This window comes from Homo sapiens, chromosome 7 (assembly GCF_000001405.40).
Source record: "Homo sapiens chromosome 7, GRCh38.p14 Primary Assembly".
In the NCBI taxonomy this organism is placed as follows: Eukaryota; Metazoa; Chordata; class Mammalia; order Primates; family Hominidae; genus Homo; species Homo sapiens.
Window position 1 is genome coordinate 53,780,733 of NC_000007.14, and position 21,396 is coordinate 53,802,128.

The 21,396-nt window shown below is 36.8% G+C and overlaps 1 long non-coding RNA gene across 1 annotated transcript in view; it reads right to left on the reverse strand.

Moving 5' to 3' along the window:
- LINC01446 (long intergenic non-protein coding RNA 1446) overlaps window positions 1-21,396 on the reverse strand; it is a 156,423-nt gene that overhangs the window by 125,224 nt on the left and 9,803 nt on the right. The gene's annotated exons all lie outside the window — the stretch shown is intronic.

Consider the following 21,396-nt stretch of genomic DNA (forward strand, 5'->3'; position numbering starts at 1 on the left):
TCTTCCAGATCCATTTAACCTAGGCTGGACCACAGTACCACTTACCGATCCATAGATCAAGGGAGCTGTTGGCATGGGTGTGGACAGAGCTGGAGTGCCTGTACTGCTGAGTCCTAAATTTCAGCGTTGGATAGAGCTGGAGGTAGAAAGATTTGGTGTCCTGGCTGTGGCAATACAGGGAGTCCAAAAATGTAAATTGTAGCCTAACCCTTAGGTTATTATGAAGAAACATTTGTCATACATTACAGATCATTCTGTTCCATGTTCTAATTTCTCCTTTTTAGTTAGATGTAGTGGCAATAAAAGGTTACTCAAAGGAATGCTGGGAAAATTAAAATAGATATTATATATACAACAAAGCGTAAAGTTTAGAAAAAAATCTCAAGTGATACCATGTATTAGTGCTAAATATTATTATATAGAAAATATTACACCCATTCAAAAATGCCAAAACCTGAGACCTCCAGAAATAGCATATAGGTATAAGGGAATCCCTATTGAGAAGGAGGGAAGAAGAGAATTGCAGAAATAAAGTCATGTTTTCAGGAATAAGATTAAAAAAGAATTATTTTATTTTTAAGGATACAAAAATTACCACTTGAGTTTTCTTATTTAGGAAACAAATAAATTTTGGCTTTAAAAATGAAAAGGCATTCATGAAGACATAGGGATAGCTTTGTTTTATAAAAGCTAAGAGTAATAGCATGTTGAGTGGTCCTGCAGATAAATTTCTGTTCCACATAAGGAAAGTTCTTTTATTAATTTGAGCCCATGAATTGAAGCAGTGTGTTGTCCATAACCTAAGAGTCCCTATTTTCCTGGTGGAAGGACTTCAAACTTTGTAGATAGCAGCTGACATTGGAAGTGGCTTCACAACTTGAGTGACTCTGATTCTAAGAAAACTCAAGAGAATTGTTCTATGTTAAATCAGTTAATGCCTTTGGATCAGGATGCATCACTTTCAATAATAAGAAGGGTCCTTTCAGACAAACTCAAGTGGGATTGTGAGTCTGATGGATTTTAAGGAATTAAAGAGAATTTGTAATGTATTAGAATATTAGAAAATGAAGTGATTTTTTTAAAAAAGGAAATGTGCTTGCTACAAATCTATAGATTAGTTAGCTTGAATAATTTTGGGGCAACATCTAAAGAAATTTTCAATATTTTGAGTACTTCAAGAGAAAATTTCTGATGTGGGAGAAAGTGAAGCAATCTCAATAAAATCTGCACCAGGTAGAATATTATTTTATCAAATAATCACTACATAGTAAAATGAGAGCCATAGTATATGTAAATATTATTCATGTGTATATGTTTCCATGTGTGTGTGCACACACTTGAAAAAACTCTTCCTAATAATTAAATTGAATCACAGGTTCATATCTTCCCAAAGAAAACCATTTCAATAATAAAATAATTATCAATAATTATTGGGAAAATGTTGGCATGCCATTTCCAGAACTACTGATTCTTTTAATGTGACATTGGCAATTTAAAAGCTATAATTTTGTGGCTTCTAAGGAGCCACTGAAATGCTTAAAGAGAGGAGTCAGCAACAAATCTTACACAAGGAAGGTGAATCACCATTAGTTCTCATAGGGGGGAAGCTGTTCTAAACTTCTCCAATAGATTTTTCTGAGAAAGGCAGGAATCTCATGGCAGTTTTAGAATTAATTTAATGTACATTAAGAGCAAAAAAAATATACATTCTTAGACTCTGAGTGAAAGAAAGGCTTTTTTTTTTTTTTGACTGATTCTTGCTGTGTCACCCAGGCTGGAGTGCAGTGGCACAATCTTGGCTCACTGCAACCTCCGCCCCCTGGGTTCAAGCATTTCTCCTGCTTCAGCCTCCTGAGTAGCTGCAACTACAGGTGTGTGCCACCACGCCCGACTAATTTTTTGTGTTTTTAGTAGAGACGGAGTTTCACCATGTGGATCAGGCTGGTCTCGAACTCCTGACCTTAAGCGGTCCACCTACCTCAGCCTCCCAAAGTGTTGGGATTACAGGCATGAGTCACCGCACCTGGCTGAAAGGCAGAATCTTTAAAGAAGGATACAGACTTGAAACATGGAAAGTATTGCTTCAAATAACAGTTCCACCACTTATAAGTCTTGTGAATTGGATAGGACGGTTAACTTTTCTCAATATTTTTCTAATCTTGAAGATACTAATATTACCACTCTAAAATGGCTATAATAAGGATTAAGTACAATAAAGTTGATGGTGCACCTGACGGAAAGGTGGGATCGCAGTGCTAGTTGCTCTTTTCTCACCTTCAGATTTTATCTGAGAATGAAGAACATGCATTATGGTTTTGTTCCATAGAGAGCAACCCACATTTCCCTCTGCATTTTAAATTTTAGCAAAACTCCAAGATCAAGAGCCTGTCTTAAATATTCAAAAAATGTATCATAAATAATGAAAATAAAATGAAATTGTCTTGGACTTCAATGAGCAAATCTCCATGCCTTCCACAATAGTGTTAAATAGACGGATGTCTTCTTTCATGTCAACGAGAAATAGTTTTCACAGTGGATAACTTATTTTAATATAATGAGTTAAAAATTGAAGAAGCATCTGCACCTGTCATTTCATTGTCATTAGAAGGAAAAAGTAGATTTTACAACACCAAAGTCAAAACTACTAGAAAATTGAAGAATATATCCTACATCAACACTAAAAGACTCCATCCTGTATGTTAATTCAGTGTCTTATTTGGAATCATGTTTCATTGATAAAGTATCTTGGTGGACCCCTAAAGCAGTGCAAATTAAAACAAGATATTTCTCCTGGTATAGAAGATACATGAATAGCACTAATAAAAATAATCTAAGACCAAACCATCCATGATGTCATGGTATAGATTCTGTGGAATTAACAGTAAACTAACTGTTGGGGTATGAACATAACTGATTGTTTAGTTAAAAAAAAAGGTAATATTTCTGTTCATACTAACATAGGTCTTTGGGTGGTACTGATTGATCGATAAGAGGTAAAAAATCACTATATTAAGTCTATTGCCAACTTCATTCCAGAGTGAGGCATGGTAAATCATTTGTAATGAATCTAGTGGTGATGGCTTTCTAGGGGTTTTACTGTTTATCACATAATGTAAAGTAAATTCTAGAATGATTGGACTCATTTTAGTAGCTATAATCTACCCAAAATTCAGTATAAAAGAGAAAATATTAAGGACCTAAGAGGTATTAATCCACTTAAATGAATTTACATAATAAAAAATAAAATGAGAAAAATTCAGATAACGAGTCTTCCTTAAATAGGGAAGATTATATCATCTATTAGAAAATAACATATAGTAAAAGACAAAACAATGAGTTGAAGATTAAAAATAATTTCTTCTAGTGAGCATTTTTAAAATATATGGTTTTTTAACATATAACCTTTATATGTACAGTTGAGATTTAATGTAATACATAAATGTTTACATCCACACATGTATACTATAGTAAAGATTTTAAAAATGAAGATTTAAAAACATGCTTGTAAATAATTTATGAAAAAAGAAGATGTCATATTGGAAAACTGAATAATTCTCAGAAATGAATAATAAACAAAACACTACATATCGATTCTAGTAGAATTCTAGCAATTCTGGTAGCAATGAAACTTCTATAGAAAGAGTAAAGTATATTCTGTAAATTTTTTTTATCAGAAAACAATAAAATCCGAAAATAAACAAGCCCAGAAACCTACTTAAGCACAAAGAAACGGAATGGAGAATACAGGAGAAAGTAAATAAATAAAATATTTGCAGAAATTAATAAAATAGACTACAAACATACAATAGAAAGCATGGAAAGTAAGAAGTTTATTATTTGATAACTCCAATTCAAAATGCATATAAATACTTTTAAATGAATGAATGAATAAGCATAAAGAAATAAAATAACACTGGCAAATTTAATCAGACATAAATTAAAAAGTAAGGAAGGCACAAATAAAAATTAAAAATTAAAATAGGAATACAGTTCAGGATAAAATAGATTATAAAGTTAACTAGAAAATTCCAATTACAAAATTAATTTATAAACTTGAAAAGTTATATATAATAAACCATCTATATAAAATTAACCATGTAACTTCTTACAATTGGTTCATAAATATCTGAAGAATCCTATATTTTAAAATTTCAACCAGTAATTTAAAAATCTTGTAATACCAGACTAAAAAAAGATAATTTACATTCCAACTCTTCCCATGAAGCTAATGTAACCTAAACATATGAAAGAGACATGACTCAGGTAAGAAAGGAACATACACCCTCAGAAATAATACCACACATCTACAACCATCTGATCTTTGACAAACCTCACAAAAACAAGAAATGGGGAAAGGATTTCCTATTTAATAAATGGTGCTGGGAAAACTGGCTAGCCATATGTAGAAAGCTGAAACTGGATCCCTTCCTTACACCTTATACAAAAATCAATTCAAGATGGATTAAAGACTTAAATGTTAGACCTAAAACCATAAAAACCCTAGAAGAAAATCTAGGCAATACCATTCAGGACACAGGCATGGGCAAGGACTTCATGTCTAAAACACCAAAAGCAATGGCAACAAAAGCCAAACTTGCCAAATGGGATCTAATTAAACTAAAGAGCTTCTGCACAGCAAAAGAAACTACCACCAGAGTGAACAGGCAACCTACAGAATGGGAGAAGATTTTTGCAATCTACTCTTCTGACAAAAGGCTAATATCCAGAATCTATAAAGAACTCAAACAAATTTACAAGAAAAAAAACAAACCCCATCAAAAAGTGGGCAAAGGATATGAACAGACACTTCTCAAAAGAAGACATTTATGCAGCCAAAAGACACATGAAAAAATGCTCATCATCACTGGCCATCAGAGAAATGCAAATCAAAACCACAATGAGATACCATCTCATGCCAGTTAGAATGGCGATCATTAAAAAGTCAGGAAACAACAGGTGCTGGAGAGGATGTGGAGAAATAGGAATGATTTTACACTGTTGGTGGGACTGTAAACTAGTTCAACCATTGTGGAAGACAGTGTGACAATTCCTCAAGGATCTAGAACTAGAAATACCATTTGACCCAGCCATCCCATTACTGGGTATATACCCAAAGGATTATAAATCATGCTGCTATAAAGACACATGCACACGTATGTTTATTGCGGCACTATTCACAATAGCAAAGACTTGGAACCAATCCAAATGTCCATCAATGATGGACTGGATTAAGAAAATGTGGCACATATACACCATGGAATACTATGCAGCCATAAAAAAGGATGAGTTCATGTCCTTTTTAGGGACATGAATGAAGCTGGAAACCATCATTCTCAGCAAACTATCACAAGGACAAAAAACCAAACACCGCATGTTTTCACTCATAGGTGGGAACTGAACAATGAGAACACTTGGACATAGGAAGGGGAACATCACACACCAGGGCCTGTTTTGGGCTTGGGGGAGGGGGAAGGGATAGCATTAGGAGATATACCTAATGCAAATGATGAGTTAATGGGTGCAGCGCATGAACATGGCACATGTATACATATGTAACAAACCTGCACGTTGTGCACATGTACCCTAGAACTTAAAGTATAATAATAAAATAAATAATAAATAAATAGAAAAAAATTAACACTGGAAATTTTTTAAATATGGGATGTAAGTGCCAGATCAGAAGTTGTACTTAAGGATTTTATGTGACTCTCCTGTGTTAGCTGGAAACATCACCACAATAAGAAAGAGGCGACTCTAGAATTAGGAAGCAATACTTCTGAATCATTATCAGTAATGTGATAAGGGTTACCATAAATTGCTTGATTTTACTGTGCTTCACTCACCACACTGAAAATGGGGTGATTAAAATTACCTTCTCTTTAAAAAAAAAAAGAAAGGAACATACAATTCAATTTTACTCATTAACATAAGTGTACAAATCCTAAACATTATATGATTAAACCAAGTACATTAACATGTAAGACAAATCATCATGTACATAGCTAATTTTCTGCTGTTAAAAAATGTGTGGATGAAAAACAGAATAAGCATTAATCAAATTGATGTAATTCACCACTTATGAATTAATATGATTATTTCAATAATATGTAGAGTAACTGTAAGATGAAAATTAACACTCATTCACTGTAAAATTTAAAAATAATTAAGTGGCTAGAAGAGAACTTCCTGAACTTGAAAACATGTTCCATATATTTGAAAATCTATCCAACCCTACAGAACATATCTTTCTCATAGGTTACCTGTAAAAATAATTATTTAACAAATCAAGGAAAAGACAAGGATGCCAACTATCACAGCTTCTTGAAACATGTTATAGAATTTCCTAGCCAATGGCAGTAAATTTGTCTTAAATAATGAGGTGAGCTTTAAAAGAAATAAACATGATGACTGTATTTTCCCTTAACTCAGTTAGGGATTTGGATCCTGCTCCTAATCCACCTCGGTTTCCATCGCAGGTGATTAAAGCAACATTTGCCTATATCAGCAATTGTCATAAAACCAAGTTAAAAAGCATTTTAGAAATTCTTTCCAAAAGCCCTGTAAGTATACATGATGAGTTTAATAATAGAGCATTCCTTCTTTTTTAGGTAAAAAAAATCTTTGTAAGTACATCTTAAAGAGGAAAAGTAAACAAATGAAAAATTTATCTCATAATTAAAAAGGAAAACATTCATTTACAAGTTTAAATGGTATTTTAATTGTCAGCATTAATTGAAATATGTTACATATGAGAACAGAATCTTGTGACACTTTAGTCATATATTAGCTCAGGGAATATATCTACTTTTTCATAGGAATATACTATTTTATTGTAGTTTACTTTCTGAAAATTAAATAAAATACAGTCATCATTTGAAAAAGTTTTGCTCATAGACCAGTGAACTTCCAAAATGAAAATTTAGATTTTAATAACCCCCAAATTCAAAACTATTTTTCTACTGAAAAACTATACTTTCAATAAAATCACAAATGACATATCACAGTCCAGATATATAAATCAGATTATCTAAATACCTTTCACCCTCAATAACTTAAATAATCTTAAATGATCTTATAATAATTTTATTAAAAAATCTTATAAAGTTAAAAGGCAATTCCACAAATGAGCCTCAGTATTACTTCAGATCAGAATCAAAGCTCTATGCCAGTACTGTAAAAGCAGTATTTTAAGACATGGCAATTAACACTTATTTAGACAGCGTGAAATTACATATGTGAAAGTACTTTCTCAGATATTATTACTATTTTATATGCCCAGCATAGTAGGGCACATTAAAAAAAAAAATAAAGCATATTTTCAAGTAGCTTACAATCAAGCCAGGAAAACAACTCTAATGTTCATATACAACTCAGAGACATTCACATCCAAATTAAATTGTACAGATAATAAAGTACAATAAAGAAAAGGTGGGGCTGGGTACGGTGGCTCATGCTTGTAAACCCAGCACTTTGGTTGGCCAACACGGGGGAATCACTTGAGGCCAGAAGTTCAAGACCAGCATGTGCAAAAAAAATAAATAAATAAAAAATAAACATAATGAAAATAGCTGATTATATAATTGTCTACAATGAAAATTCAAGAGAATCTATAGAAAATGTATTATATTTCATTAAAAGATGTAGACAGAGCAATATATAAAGGTATAGATAAAGGATTAATGTATAAGAATGAACTGCACTTTTATGTACAATCAGGAGTTAGGTAATTAAACTTTTTAAAATAACAATCATAGTAGCCATAAGTTACATGATGCCTAGGAAAAAATTTAACCAGGATAATCCAAAATATTTATAGAAAAAAATTTAGGCCTTTTTTCTATGGCACTATATAAAGCTAGGCATTTTTTCCAATAGAGAAAGACAGACAAGGAGGAAGAGAGTGAGGGCAGTTGAGAGAGACAGTGAGAGAGACAGAGAGAGATAGACAAATTGGAAGACTTTTGACCTCATGTTACTAGATGCAGAAGATTATTTAACATAGTACTATATCCATTTATAGTATAAAAAGATACACAGATGATGGATAGAGACATGATAGATGATAGATGATGATGATGTTGTAGAGAGAGAGAGAGATAGATAGATAGATAGATAGATAGATAGACAGATAGACAGATAGACCGATATCTTCCTTAACTTAATAAAAAATATTCATTCTAAACCTCCAGAATATGATTACACTGGATTTGCAAAGTTAAGGATTTGTCATAGCATGTTTTGGCAAAAATTTGAAGAGATGAGCAGTCACTTGCTGTTGTACTTGCTGGTATCTTTGGAAAAAAATTAGAGTTTATTTTGCAAATAAACATGCCTGTTCCTTAGAATCCTGCAGCAATTTGACTTCTCTAGATATAGTTTCTGTACAAACCATTACATATAACTGTCAAGGAATGGGCACATGAATGCTTATAGCAACACTATTTTGACAGCAAAACTTGGAAATATCCCAAATGCTCATCAGGAAGAATAGGAATATAGAATGGGCATGTAGTATATATGAAATACTCATAGTGTAGGTGAAACAATATGGATGTATGGTAGAAGCATAATATTGAAAAAATATTTTAAGAGATGTGTATATATATATATATGCTTTTTTTGCATAAATCTCTAGTATAAGAAAAACTTTTGAAATAACATATACATTGGTGTGGTAACATTTTATTTTTTGAAAAGCAAAGCAATGATGAATGCGCCCAAGAGGAGAGGAGGCAAGGGCAGTGTTTGCTGAGAAGCACTAAAGGTTGTCTCAGTGCCATTTATGTTATGCATGTACTGAAGTAATATGTTGAAGACCTTGCACTTTCTCTTTTGTATCAACTGCTAGACAACATAATCACAAAGAAAGAAAGAATGTCAGGTTTAAAATACAGCTAACTAGAAACATAAATATGTAAAATGTAGTCATTAAAAAAGCTCAATGCATAGATTAAACAATAGATTAGATAGTGGTGAAGAAAGAATTATTGAAATGAATGATTACTGAATTGGAAGATATATTGTGGAGATTACAGAATTCAGCAAAGAGAAGAGAGCAAGTCAAAAAAAGAAAGATATGCAAACACACATTGCACGTGCTCTGAAAACACAAGCGGTAGTATACTTGTCATAATATTCAGGTCTTGTATATCTAATAATATTTTTAATAATGTATATGATTTCTTAAAAAATATCTATTATGCTGAGGTTTCAAATTTGAGCAAAGTTGTTATGTTTTTACATTTTCTACTATGATTAATACATTTTTATATGTATGTATTTTTTCTTCATGGTTCATGTATTTTTTTTTGTATGTTTGTTTCTTTCCAGAAACTTAAGGTTTGATTTTGCCAGTTTTTTCATTATTTTCCAACATTTAAATTAATTTTTTTCCTTCAATTAAAAAAAGTTATTCTTACTTTTTCTGAATTCCTGTATTGAACACTTAACAAAATTATATATTTCTTGTTTGTTTCTAGGTGAACACCCTGAGGTAAATATATTTCCCCTCCAAGTACCATGTTAAATAAACTCCATAGGTTTGCTTTTGGTTTATTTTATTTTTTGGTTAATTTTAAAAATTTGTAATATTCATTATTATGTCCTCTTAAACCGATTAGTTATTTAGATTTTTTTTAATTTCCAGTTTTGCTTGTTTATTTGCTTTACTACTACTTAGTTTTTTATTTTAAATATGATTGGTTATGGTTAGAAAATATTCTTTATATATTCTTAGACATTTGTTGACATGCATTGAGACCTACACAGGCTCGATTTTTCTAAATAGGTGCTTTAAAAATGTATATTATCATTTTGTTGAGTGCTGAATTATATAAGCAGGTAAGTCTTCGTATAAAAGGGGCATATTGAGTCCAAGCAAAATTTAAAAAAATAAATCCACAACTTGACACCTCCATATCTCAAAAAAAAGGCAATCTTAGTACCACCAAAAAATATAGATTTCCTGGAAAAAAATAACAATTAGGCTGACAACATATTGTATAACTCAGCATCCTATTGTTTGATTACTTCATACATATGGTTTGGGTAATTTAATGCTTCCTGAATATCAATATTCATATCCTTCAACTATTAAAAGAATTCTCAGCCACTCTCTTCAAATATTGCTTGTCTTCTAGTCACTCTACTTTATCTTTCTCAAATTAGGAATATGTTTTACTGTCTCATCCTGTCACACATGTATCTTTTCCCTTCTTTTACATATTATCTTTTTTTTCTTTTTTTTATTAAACTTTAAGTTCTAGGGTACATGCACACAACAGGTTTGTTACATAGGTATACATGTGCCATGTTGGTTTGCTGCACCCATCAATTCATCATTTACATCAGGTATTTCTCCTAATGCTATCCCTCCTCCAGTCCCCCACCTGCCGACCGGCCCCAGTGTGTGATGTTTCCCGCCCTGTGTGCATGTGTTCTCATCGTTCAACTCCCACTTATGAATGAAAACATGTGGTGTTTGGTTTTCTGCCCTTGTGATAGTCCTCTAGATCCTTGAGGAATCGCCACACTGTCTTCCACAATGGTTGAACTAATTTACACTCCCACCAACAGTGTAAAAGCATTCCTATTTCTCCACATCTTCTCCAACATCTATTGTTTCCTGACTTTTTAATGATTACCATTCTAACTGGCATGAGATGGTATCTCATTGTGGTTTTGATTTGCATTTCTCTGATGGCCAGTGATGATGAGCATGTTTTCATACGTCTGTTGGCTGCATAAACGTCCTCTTTTGAGAAGTGTCTGTTTATATCCTTTTACATATTTTCTATCTCATATTTCTGTGGTGCATTCTAGATAGTTTCTGCATCTCTATCTTATAATTTAGTAACTCATCTTCAAGTTGTACATGATCTAAACTTTTAGGCTATTGGTTTTGACAGACATATGGCTTCTGTTTGGTTCTTTCTCAAATATGCCTGCTTCTTATTCACTGTTCATGTCTTTTTATTATTTCCTTTTGTAATGCCTTTAATCATTTCAGATGTTTTTGTAATTTTCACCTACAGTTTGACTCTCTTAAATTATCCAAATTCTAATCTGTTGTTACTTTGCCTGCTCACTGTTTACCCATGACATGCTGGCACTAGACCCATGTGCTGTGTGCTTGTGTATTTCATCATTTTTAATGGATGTATGATTTACACAGTAAAAGGAATAGAACTTACAGTTTTCTGAGTTTTAATAAATCAGCAAACCTGCAACCATCATTATTTAAGAAATTTTCTTTACAAACAGCCCCAATTAACTGCTACCCAGAGGTAAGTACTGTTTTGATTTCTTTTACCATACATTAGTTTTGCCTGTATTTGTGATTTACATAAATATACATCTTAAGCATGCACTCTTTTGTCTTTGCTTTGTTTCTGTTCAACATAATTTTTAGCTTCATTCATGTTGCTGCATGTGTCCATATTTTCTTTACCTTAATGTCTATGTATTAATTTAATTATATGAGTACACTTCAATATGCTTATTCATAACACCCAGATTTGGCTAAAGTGAATAAACTGTGATGATCATTCTAATATAATTCTGTAAGGACATTTGCTTTAATTCATTTTTTGTAAACACCTATCAAGTGAATTGCTGGATGTTTGCGCAGGCCTTTTTAAATATTATTAAGAGACTGCCAAACTGTTTTCCCAAGTAGCTGTACTATTTTCTATTTCACAGACAATGTGCAAGAGTATCAGTTGCTCATGGTTCTCACCAGCATTTGATATTGTTTGGTCCATTTAATTTTCATCATTGTAATGCATGTGTCCTTGTATTTTAATTGCTAATTTTGTATTATGAGCACATCTTTGAAAAAGATCTTATCGTGAAGAATCCTATGTTTGGTGCTGGACATTTCTTTCGGGTATTCCAGTTGCAAAACCAGCCTCCAACTACATTTTACCCTAATATCTGCTTGAAAGTGACTGGGCTGTGCAGGTATTAAAAGCGTGAACATCAAATTTCTTAGAAAGAGCATCATTTAAGGACTTTTACTGAAGAATATTTTTCTTGCCAAACCCAGACTGAGATAGAAAAGACTCTGCATGATCTCCTTTTGCCAGTGGGTGGATTTATTTTTTTCTAGTTCTCATTTATGATGTAGTAATGTACTCATTTTCAAATGACAGGAAAACTGGTCCAAAATGACCTAAACACAGAGGGGTTTATTTGTTCACTATGTCAAAAATTCAGAGGTTAGAATTCTAGGGTTGACTGGTTGCGTGTTTCATCTGCATGGCTAGCAGATACCTGTGGCTTCTCCAAGTATCACAAAAAAACTCCAAGCTGGGTGAAGGAGACTGGGAAAATGACCAAAACAAAAATTACTATTAGTAGGGTTTTGCTTTTTGTTCTTAAAGAGACACATACATAGCTGACCCACAAAAACTCCCTTGATAGATGTATATGACATAGTTACCTTTATTTGCAAGAAAAACTTGGGAAAAGTGGATTGTGATGGGAGTTGCATTTCAATTTGTCTGTCATAGTCCAGAAAACAGGCTAACGGTTGCCCATGAACAATCTCAGTCCCTCCACATGGAACATACTCACATCTTTAAGAAGTAACATCAAAAGTCACCTAGATTACCATCAGTTTGTAATCTATTATCTGTGATTTGAGCCAGTCTCAAGCTCAATGATAACCTATCTGTCTCTGCAGTGTTGGAGCACACATAGAAGAGTTACAACAAAATTCCCATTAAGAATAAAAAATGGAAAACAGGTATCCGTGGCACATGATAATCCTGATGGTCAGGAAAAGAAAAACTCTAACCCCTAACAGGAGATCCAGTGCTTTGTTATTATCATGGGATCCTTAGGGAGTCACTTCACCAGCCAGAAATCTCTGTGCCTAGAGGCACTTTCTGCCTGAGTATTAGTTGCTGGGCTCGTTCCACCCACTCAGAATGGTAGCTGCGTCCAGCTCACACTACTGTCCCGGATCCCACACCTGCCAAGGGCAAGCGAGGTGTAGAGCAGGAAGGAGTGTGTGGTTGAGTGAGCATGGGGTCTGTCCACTGTAGACAGCCAGGTACGCTAGCTGCTGTGGTGGGGTAGGCAGCTGCAGGTGCCAGCACAGGTGCCAGCACTATGTGAGGCTGCAGCAGGACCAGATGTACTGCACATGGCTTCCGCTGCAGGCATCTACCTCTGGACGAGGGGATGCAATGGTACCCGGAAGCCTGGAGATGCCAGGAGCCACAGAGCCCCAAAGAGGGTGACATAGCCCTAGCTCAGGGAACCCCTAGGTCTGAGATCTCTGAAGGACTGCAGCTCTTCTGTCCTTCTCATCGCCCGCAATATGGCAAGTGGCAGGGGCATGTTTCAGCCCTGTTTGTGTTACAGCTTTTACAGTCCTGCCATTTGGAGGTTCCAAAGTTCTTGTCCCACATCCAGAAAGAATGAGCTATGTGGATAACTGGAGGGTTAGCAAGGTGGAGAGGAGCTTCACTCAGCAACAGAACAGTTCTCAGGAGACCCAAAGTGGGTAGCTCCTTTCCACAGGCAGGTGGTCCCGATGACGGTTTAGCTCTCAGCAGAGAGGAGAACTGGAGTGAGTAGCTCCTATCTGCAGGCAGGTCATCTCACAGAGTCAAGGATACCTGAAGTGGGTAGCTCCTTTCTGCAGTTGGTAGTCCTGACATCTGAGTCTGGCTGAGTCCCGGGTTTTTATGGGCTCAGAAGGAGGAAAGTATATGCCATGGGCAGGCCCAGAGAAAGCACCACAAGTTCTCACTCTGGACTGCAGACTCTACTCATAACTGGCAGCCTGGCCCCCAGTCTTCAGGCTGTCCCTGACTTGAAGGTGGGGTTTTACCAGGGACCTGTCCCTTTCCACCAAGGAGTCTGTCTACCTCCTGCCACCATCAACATGTCATCTATGGTGCCCAGGCAGTTCATGCCAAGGGGCCCCTGCAGGCCCGAACTGAATCGCTCTCATCCCCACTCAGCCTCCCTCCTGTGCTTGTTGGCACCCAAAGTCTGGAGAGGGCTGAGGCAGCAGGCAGCTGGCATGTCAGTGCCACCCCAAGCATGTGCACAACCAGCTGGGTAGTGACAGCACCCAAGTTTGGCCTTAACTTTGCTCCATAGCAGGTGCTAAGAGTGAGGAGGAATGGGAGCAGACATTTCTGAGCCTGGCTGGGCAGGGGGATTCCTGGGCTCCCAAGAATGCAGGGATGCCTGGGTGCAGAACCATGGCTGGGTGGAGGCAGCTGCACCTGGGAGTGCAGGGCTTCTGACCTGCCAACTCAGAAGAGGGCAGGGCTCCCTCCTGTCCCTGGCCCCTGCCTGCTCTGTGAGTGCACAGTCCCAGCCACACCTCCGCTGCTGCAGCTGGCATCCCCACTGTGGCTGCTCCAGATGGGCTGCTGAGGCCATCAGTATCTATTCTGGGAGACTCAGGCTCTGTGCTCTGAGAGGAGTTCCCTTATCCACTATCAACCATAACTACAACTTCATTGAGCTCTAGGCAAAATACCCTGTATGAGCTGTTCAGTTTCCACACCAAGTTCTGTGTGTGTGGCTTCATTAACAATCAGATTTCTTTAAATTTGAATAATCATTGAAGGCAAGTCTTATTTTTTTAATCCCCTGATTGATTTTCATAAGAATTTGCCAAAGTCTAATCTATTTGCTTCTTGTCGATTTCATGTGTGAACTACTAGGACTAAGACCACAGAGAGGCCTAGCTATTTGTTCCTTTGCCACCTCAATTTCCCAGTGATGGGTGTTTCCAGATGAAGGAAATATTAGCAAGAGGACACATCATTCCTCTTCTACAGCTTTCTGTAAGACAGACACTTTCTCTCCCACTGATATTTTTGACGCTGCTTTTTAAAATACATCAAACTTAGCCTTTCTCTCCCTGTGTGTTTGATCAGTGTTTCACAAGTATCAAAAGCTTTAGTTCATTTTTTCTCTCATTTTATACTCAAATAAACATCTGAGGTAGACAGGCCTGGCATTATTTGTGCAAGTAACAGCTAAAGACTTCAAGGCTGGAGGTATTTAAGTCATGCTGCAAGGCAGCACAGCTGGGTGTGTGCTGGCCTTGGTGCAAAACCACTGGTGTTTTGATTCGTAGTCCAGAATTGGTGTGCTGCACCATGAAGAGTACTAATACTATGGCTTAATGACAGTCCTCACAACTTCCTGTTATAGCATATTAAATGTACACCTTGAAAACTATCCTTACCACATCTGGCCCCACAACGTAATGGTTAGCACTCTGGACTCTGAAAATTATCCTTAACAAGTAATAGATGTTTCCACTCCTTGGTCTAATAGGCCATGGAGTTCACCCAGTGCAGATGTGAACTGTAGGAAGCACCCTGAAATAACAACTCTCTTCTCCAAACAGATAAGTTTCAATGTGAGTGAGTAACATCTGAGAGAAGCAGGAGCAATCCTGTTGCCACTGGGTCTCAATCATTAGCTTGCATCAGAATTGCCTGCAATGCTCCTGAAAACACAGTCTGCTGTGCCCCATCCCCAGAGTTTCTGAGGCAGCAGATCAAGGTTAGCACTTCAAAATGTGCATGTCTAGCAATTCCCAGATAGTGTTTATCTGTCAATCCCAAGACCACATTCTGAGAACCACCTGTGATAGCTGATTTCATATGTCAACTTGAGCGGGCCATGGGGTGCCCAAATATTTTGTCAAACACTAATCTGGATGGTTCTCTGGGGATGTCTTTGGCTAAGAAGACTGAATGAAGCAGATTGCCTTCCTTAATGTAGGAAGGCCTAATCCAGTCAGGTAAAGGCACCAAGTAGAACAAAAAGTTCAACTCCACCTAAGTAAGGGAAAATTCCTCCTGTCTGAGTACCTTGAAGCTGGGATATCAGCTTCTTCCTGCCCTTAGACTAGAACTGAAACATCAGCTTTTCCTTGGAATGAAACTCATGCCGTGTTCCACAGTGGGCATGTCTATGTAAACCTACTCCCAAAGGCTGAGGAAGCTGAGAAGCCAGAGACAGAGTCTGAGATATCCAGTTTCTCAGAAACACTAAATGGGGACTTACAAACAGAACCATGCCCTGGACAGCCACAGGATGGGATGGTGGATTCCATGGAGTTACCCCCAAGACATAGGGCTTATGCACCATGGGGACAGAATGTCCATGCTTCAGCAGGGATGTGTAGAACAATTGCTTAAGGGCAAGATTTATGGTAAGTACATGTTTACACAAGGAACAGTGGATAGCACAGAAATCTTAGAGGCATTCCCAAAACCAGAGTTAGTCAGAAGTCAACATATAGGATGAGCATCCGGGATAGCGTTACTTTAGCCTCCACACACCATCAGCTCTCCTGGGTCTCCAGCTTGCCAAGCCAGCCTGAAGATCTTGGACTTGCCATGCTCCGTAATCCTGTGAGCCAATTCCTATGATCTCTCTCTCTCTACATATATGTATATAAACACACATCCTATATACATATAAACACGCACACATTTACAGGATATATGCATATCCTATAAGTTCTGCTTCTTTGGAGAACCCTGACTTATACACCACCACTGTAGGAACTTCACCAGGTGATAATGAATATTGGATATTTGATGGCTGATGTTCTAAAGAAGCATAACAGTTAGATAAAATAATAATTACAATAATAATAATGAAGCCAAGTTAGCAACAGAGCCAAGGCTGAGAAATCCATACACTTTCCATTTACAAACAAATAGTCGACTTTTTTTTTCCTTTAGCTCTTGGTAAAGTAATCAAAATGACCATTCACAAAATGTATTTGTCTACCCAGCTGTATTTGAGGAATTTTTTTTTTTTTTTTTGGTCAGAGAATGAATTTCTCTCTTTACACAGGCCTCTTCCCAGTTCCAACCCTCAAATCTTTGAAAAGCATATTGATTACACAGCAAGCAGCTGCAAGCCCAGATTTCCCTGCCCACCTTGCTGGGGGTCCAATCCTCTCATGCTGCACTGCACCTCAGCCTCCCCCTCCCCATGGCTCTGGCCATGTCAGCCACGTTATGAGTTTTGCGTGTGTCTCCCTCTGAGAAACGAAGGGCAGAATCTGTGTTTCTTCATATTTGTGCCCCTCTGGCTCTCCACATGACAATTATTCCTGGTAGATTGCTCGTGAGCAGTGGATACTGCTGAAAACCTGCAAGAATGGATGCTGGGTGAAGAGCAGAGGTGCCCCAATAACTAATCATGCTAAACTTAGTGAGTGAACAAGTAAAAGCCTGAACACAAGAAGAAATCTGTGAGTAAACCAAGATGATGGAAGTATTATTGTTTAAATTTAAAATTTAAGCCAAGGGAATCACGATGGGATCATGATTATAATCCTGAGCTTTAGATTAGTCTAAGTGAGAACTTTCAAAAGTTGCATAAACTCTTTCAACCTCAGTGTCCTCAAATATAAAGTTAAAGTCATACCAGTGCTTCCCTCATAGAAATAGTGTATGCGAGGGGAGGTAAAACACATAAATCCCTGGGACTAGAATCTGACCAAACTTTAAATATTAGCAAGTGTTATTTTATTATTTTGTTTATTTTTTGTGACCTGTAAATTGCTTTGTAAGCCTCTTCTGAGATACAAACTTTCCTTCATACTCTGATCAAGGATTAGGTTAGAAGTTTAAAGTAGCAAAATTTATTGTCAGAAGGTGAGACTGTCTTAATGAATTCAGAATATGTTAACATCTGTGGTAGGTGTGCCTAGGCTTTGGAATAAATCTAAAATTATCATAGCAAAATATTTTTATAGCTTATAATCCCCTCTTTCTTCCTATGGGCAAAACATTCAGTATTAGGTGGGGATGTGACCGATGGGAACTTTTGGGATGACTGTGAAAAATGCAGTTCTCAACATATGCTACAGATGAGTTAATAAATGTTGTTAAACCTCATCAAATGTAAAGACCCCCCCACATCCCACAAAACAGGGAACATTAAACAGCGTCACTGCAAGCATCATTTTGAAGGTCTTCTCCTTGGCATCTGTGTATCTCCAAGTCAGTGGACAGACCATAGGGAGTAAAGGCCTGGGCATAGCATGGAACTTCAGCTTCCATGCATCCTGATTTCCATCTGGCTGATCAGGAGCCATCCAATCAATTTCATCTCTCCCATATGGCCCAGTACTTGCCAAGGAGATGTTTCATGATGTAGAATTTCTAACGACCATTCAAATACCTCACAGAAACCCAGACATCTAGTGAGTCAGTTGGTCTGTGCAGAAGATTCCTCCATATCACTAAGGAAACTCGAGATGCTGTGGTTTATTCAGAGGAATAAACAAAGATTTGATAAAACAGAAACAGTTCAGAAGAAAAAGGTAAGCACCAGACTTGAATGTTAAGGTTGTGCCCTAGGGACAAGTTTTAGGCATTCAGTGGTAGAATCTGACTCTGGGGACAGATAATGAGATTTTTATGTAGTCCTGGGATACATACACTTATTCTTAGCTCCTAGACCAAGCATTGAGAAACACAGGAGCGAATTTTGAAGTGCATTTAACTCCAGATTCCACCCGAAGTGCCATTACTTCATGCCCCTAAGGCCTCATCTCAGCTAAGGGCACTCCATAATGACAATTAAGTATTTGAACATGAACCTTTACTTGCTTAGCATAAAAATAAACCAAAATTGAAAGTAAGGAAAACACTTCTAAGTCAATGCACTCAGTATCAGTAATACCATTGCAATACTGATATAAAACGAAGCTCAATCAATCCACTTCATACTCTCCAAACTCTGGAAGTCTGCACCTGCCATGCTTTTATGCATAAAACACTGAACAGCACTCCACCACCACCACTAATATGCTAAAACCTGTTCATCCATCTCATCTTAGGTTATTTCATTCCACAATGGAAAGCCTTATTTGACTTTCAAAAGATATTTGCTGCCTCTTTATGTTAATCTTCTATTTTCTCTACATTACACAGTGTTTTACTTTCCTATGCACTCATTTGTATCTCTGAGTGGGCTAGAAGTTCCTGGAGGACAATGCTCATGTCTTGGTCCCTGTTAGTCTCCAGTTGAATGATGTACCTGGCAAATAGTAGATTTTTCAATAAGTATTTCTTGACTGGTTGACTGAGTGACTGTCTAACAAACATTTTAGAGAATTACATTGTACTAAACCATATGCTTAATACTGGCATGAAAGGTATCTGCTGAGTTTATTTCAAAGTGCTAACTCCTGAATGGCACCTGTTATCTCAGGGTCAGTTGGCTTAGTGAGTTCATTGAAATGTATCTACAACTTCATCAAAATAGCTGTATGTCTCAGAAATTTGCTGCAATGGGTATGTGCAGCCACAATATAGAGTAGAATCTTCACTGTCAAATGGTCTTTTTGACGTTAGGCCCTTCCTCTGGGTACTTTGGGTTTTAATTTGTGGACGGGACACTCCTTTTTATGTTCCAAGTATATAGGTAAATAAAATATAAACCTTAGGCTTGTTCACACACATGAGGTACAGAAAGATCTGATTTCCCCAAGCTTACACTAAAATTAGAAAAAACAAACAAACAAGAATTCGAGAGGTGAAGTGACATAAATCATTAATAAATTAGTGGCTTTAAAACAGAAAACAGCTGATTGAATGTTTTTAAAGGTTCTAAATAACAGCAATTAAATCAAAGTAATGACTGAAGACAAAATTAAACGGTTTGAAATTGTAGCAAATGAGTGTAAAACTTTTAGAATGTGGTTTTTACATTCCTTTAATATGTTTCTTTAAAATGTCCTCTTTCTGAGGAATGAGGCTAAAGAAATTTAAAATATTCATTGGACTGTACTCTTTTGTGAGAACTTCCTCCCACAAAAAAATTTATTAAATTGGACTAAAAATGAAGAGCTTTATATTAGGGATGATTTTCATCCCTAACAACTGCTTTTCCTTGATAACTTGAAAATAAAATGCCCACATAGAATGCTTCAATTGGCTAGAATTTGGAAGCTTGGACACTCCCTATTTTAACAAGTGTTAGTGAAAACTCAGAAATAAATTTGGTGCAAATGAAATGTACAAGATAAACACATCCATTTCGCCTTATTCTCCTGAATTCTTCCACAACGTATAGGTATAATTTTAGCGAGCTCCCTGCAGGACTGAACCTTTGTGTCATCACAGAGTTTATGTGTTGAAATCCTAACCCCCAGGGTGATGGTATTGGGAGGTGGGACTTGTGGGAGGTGATTCATTCATGGGGATGGAGCCCATGTGAATGGTATTAGCATCTGCATAAAAAAATCCCAGAGAGCTCCTTCCCTGCTTCTAGCATGTGGGGATACAGCTAAAAGGAATTGTCTGGGAACCAAGAACACGGCCTCACAAGACACCAAATTTGCTGGTGACTTAACCTTGGATTTCCCAACCTCCCAAACTGTGAGAAACAAATTCCTGTTGTTTCTAAGTTACCCAGTCTATGGTATTTTGTTATAGCAGCATGACCACATTGGGACAGACCTGTGCCTTTTATTTTCACATGTGAATGAACTTCCTTTGACCGACTTTCAGAGTATGTAGATCTGACCTAAGCCCTAATAAGTATAAAAAATATCAAATGTTTTGTTATAAAAATACTACTGGCTGGGCACGGTGGCTCATGCCTGTAATCCCAGCACTTTGGGAGGCTGAGGTGTGTGGATCACCTGGGGTCAGGAGTTCTAGACCAGCCTGGCCAACATGGTGAAACCCCGTCCCTACCAAAAATACAAAAATTAGCCGGGCATGGTAGCGGGTGCCTGTAATTTCAGCTACTCGGGAGGCTGAGGCAGGAGAATTGCTGGAACCTGGGAGGTGGAGGTTGCAGTGAGCCGAGATCGTGCCATTGCACTCCAACCCCAGGCTGACAACAGGGAGACTCCATCTGAAAAAAAAAAAAAGAAAAGAAAAGAAAAGAAAAGCTACTAAAGTTCAGATGGTATGTCTAATCGTTACTAATTTTAGCTATGGATCAAACCAGATTATCTGAAGCATGTATATTTCAACCTTTTATAATAACTCATAATGAATTAACTATCAGTGGTATGGTACAGGCCTTTAAAGAAAACCATCATTAAATAAAAAATACCTTTCATATTTTCTTATTTAAGAATGCATTGGGTGCATTAAGGGCATCTCCTGCATCCCGCAGGCCACAGTCCTCCCCCTGGCCCCATGCTCTTTAAGTGAATAAAGGGAAAAATGCATTTTCATTCCTCAGTTTCTGAAATCACCATATATATTTTATCAAACAGATTCCATATTGTAAGTTGTCTAGTAATGCAATGGACTGGGGAAGTGATTCTTAAATTTTAGTACATATAAGAATCACCTGGATATCTTATAAACTGTTGATTTCCAGCCCTTGTCCTCAAAATTGCTTATCCCAGCAAATCTCATC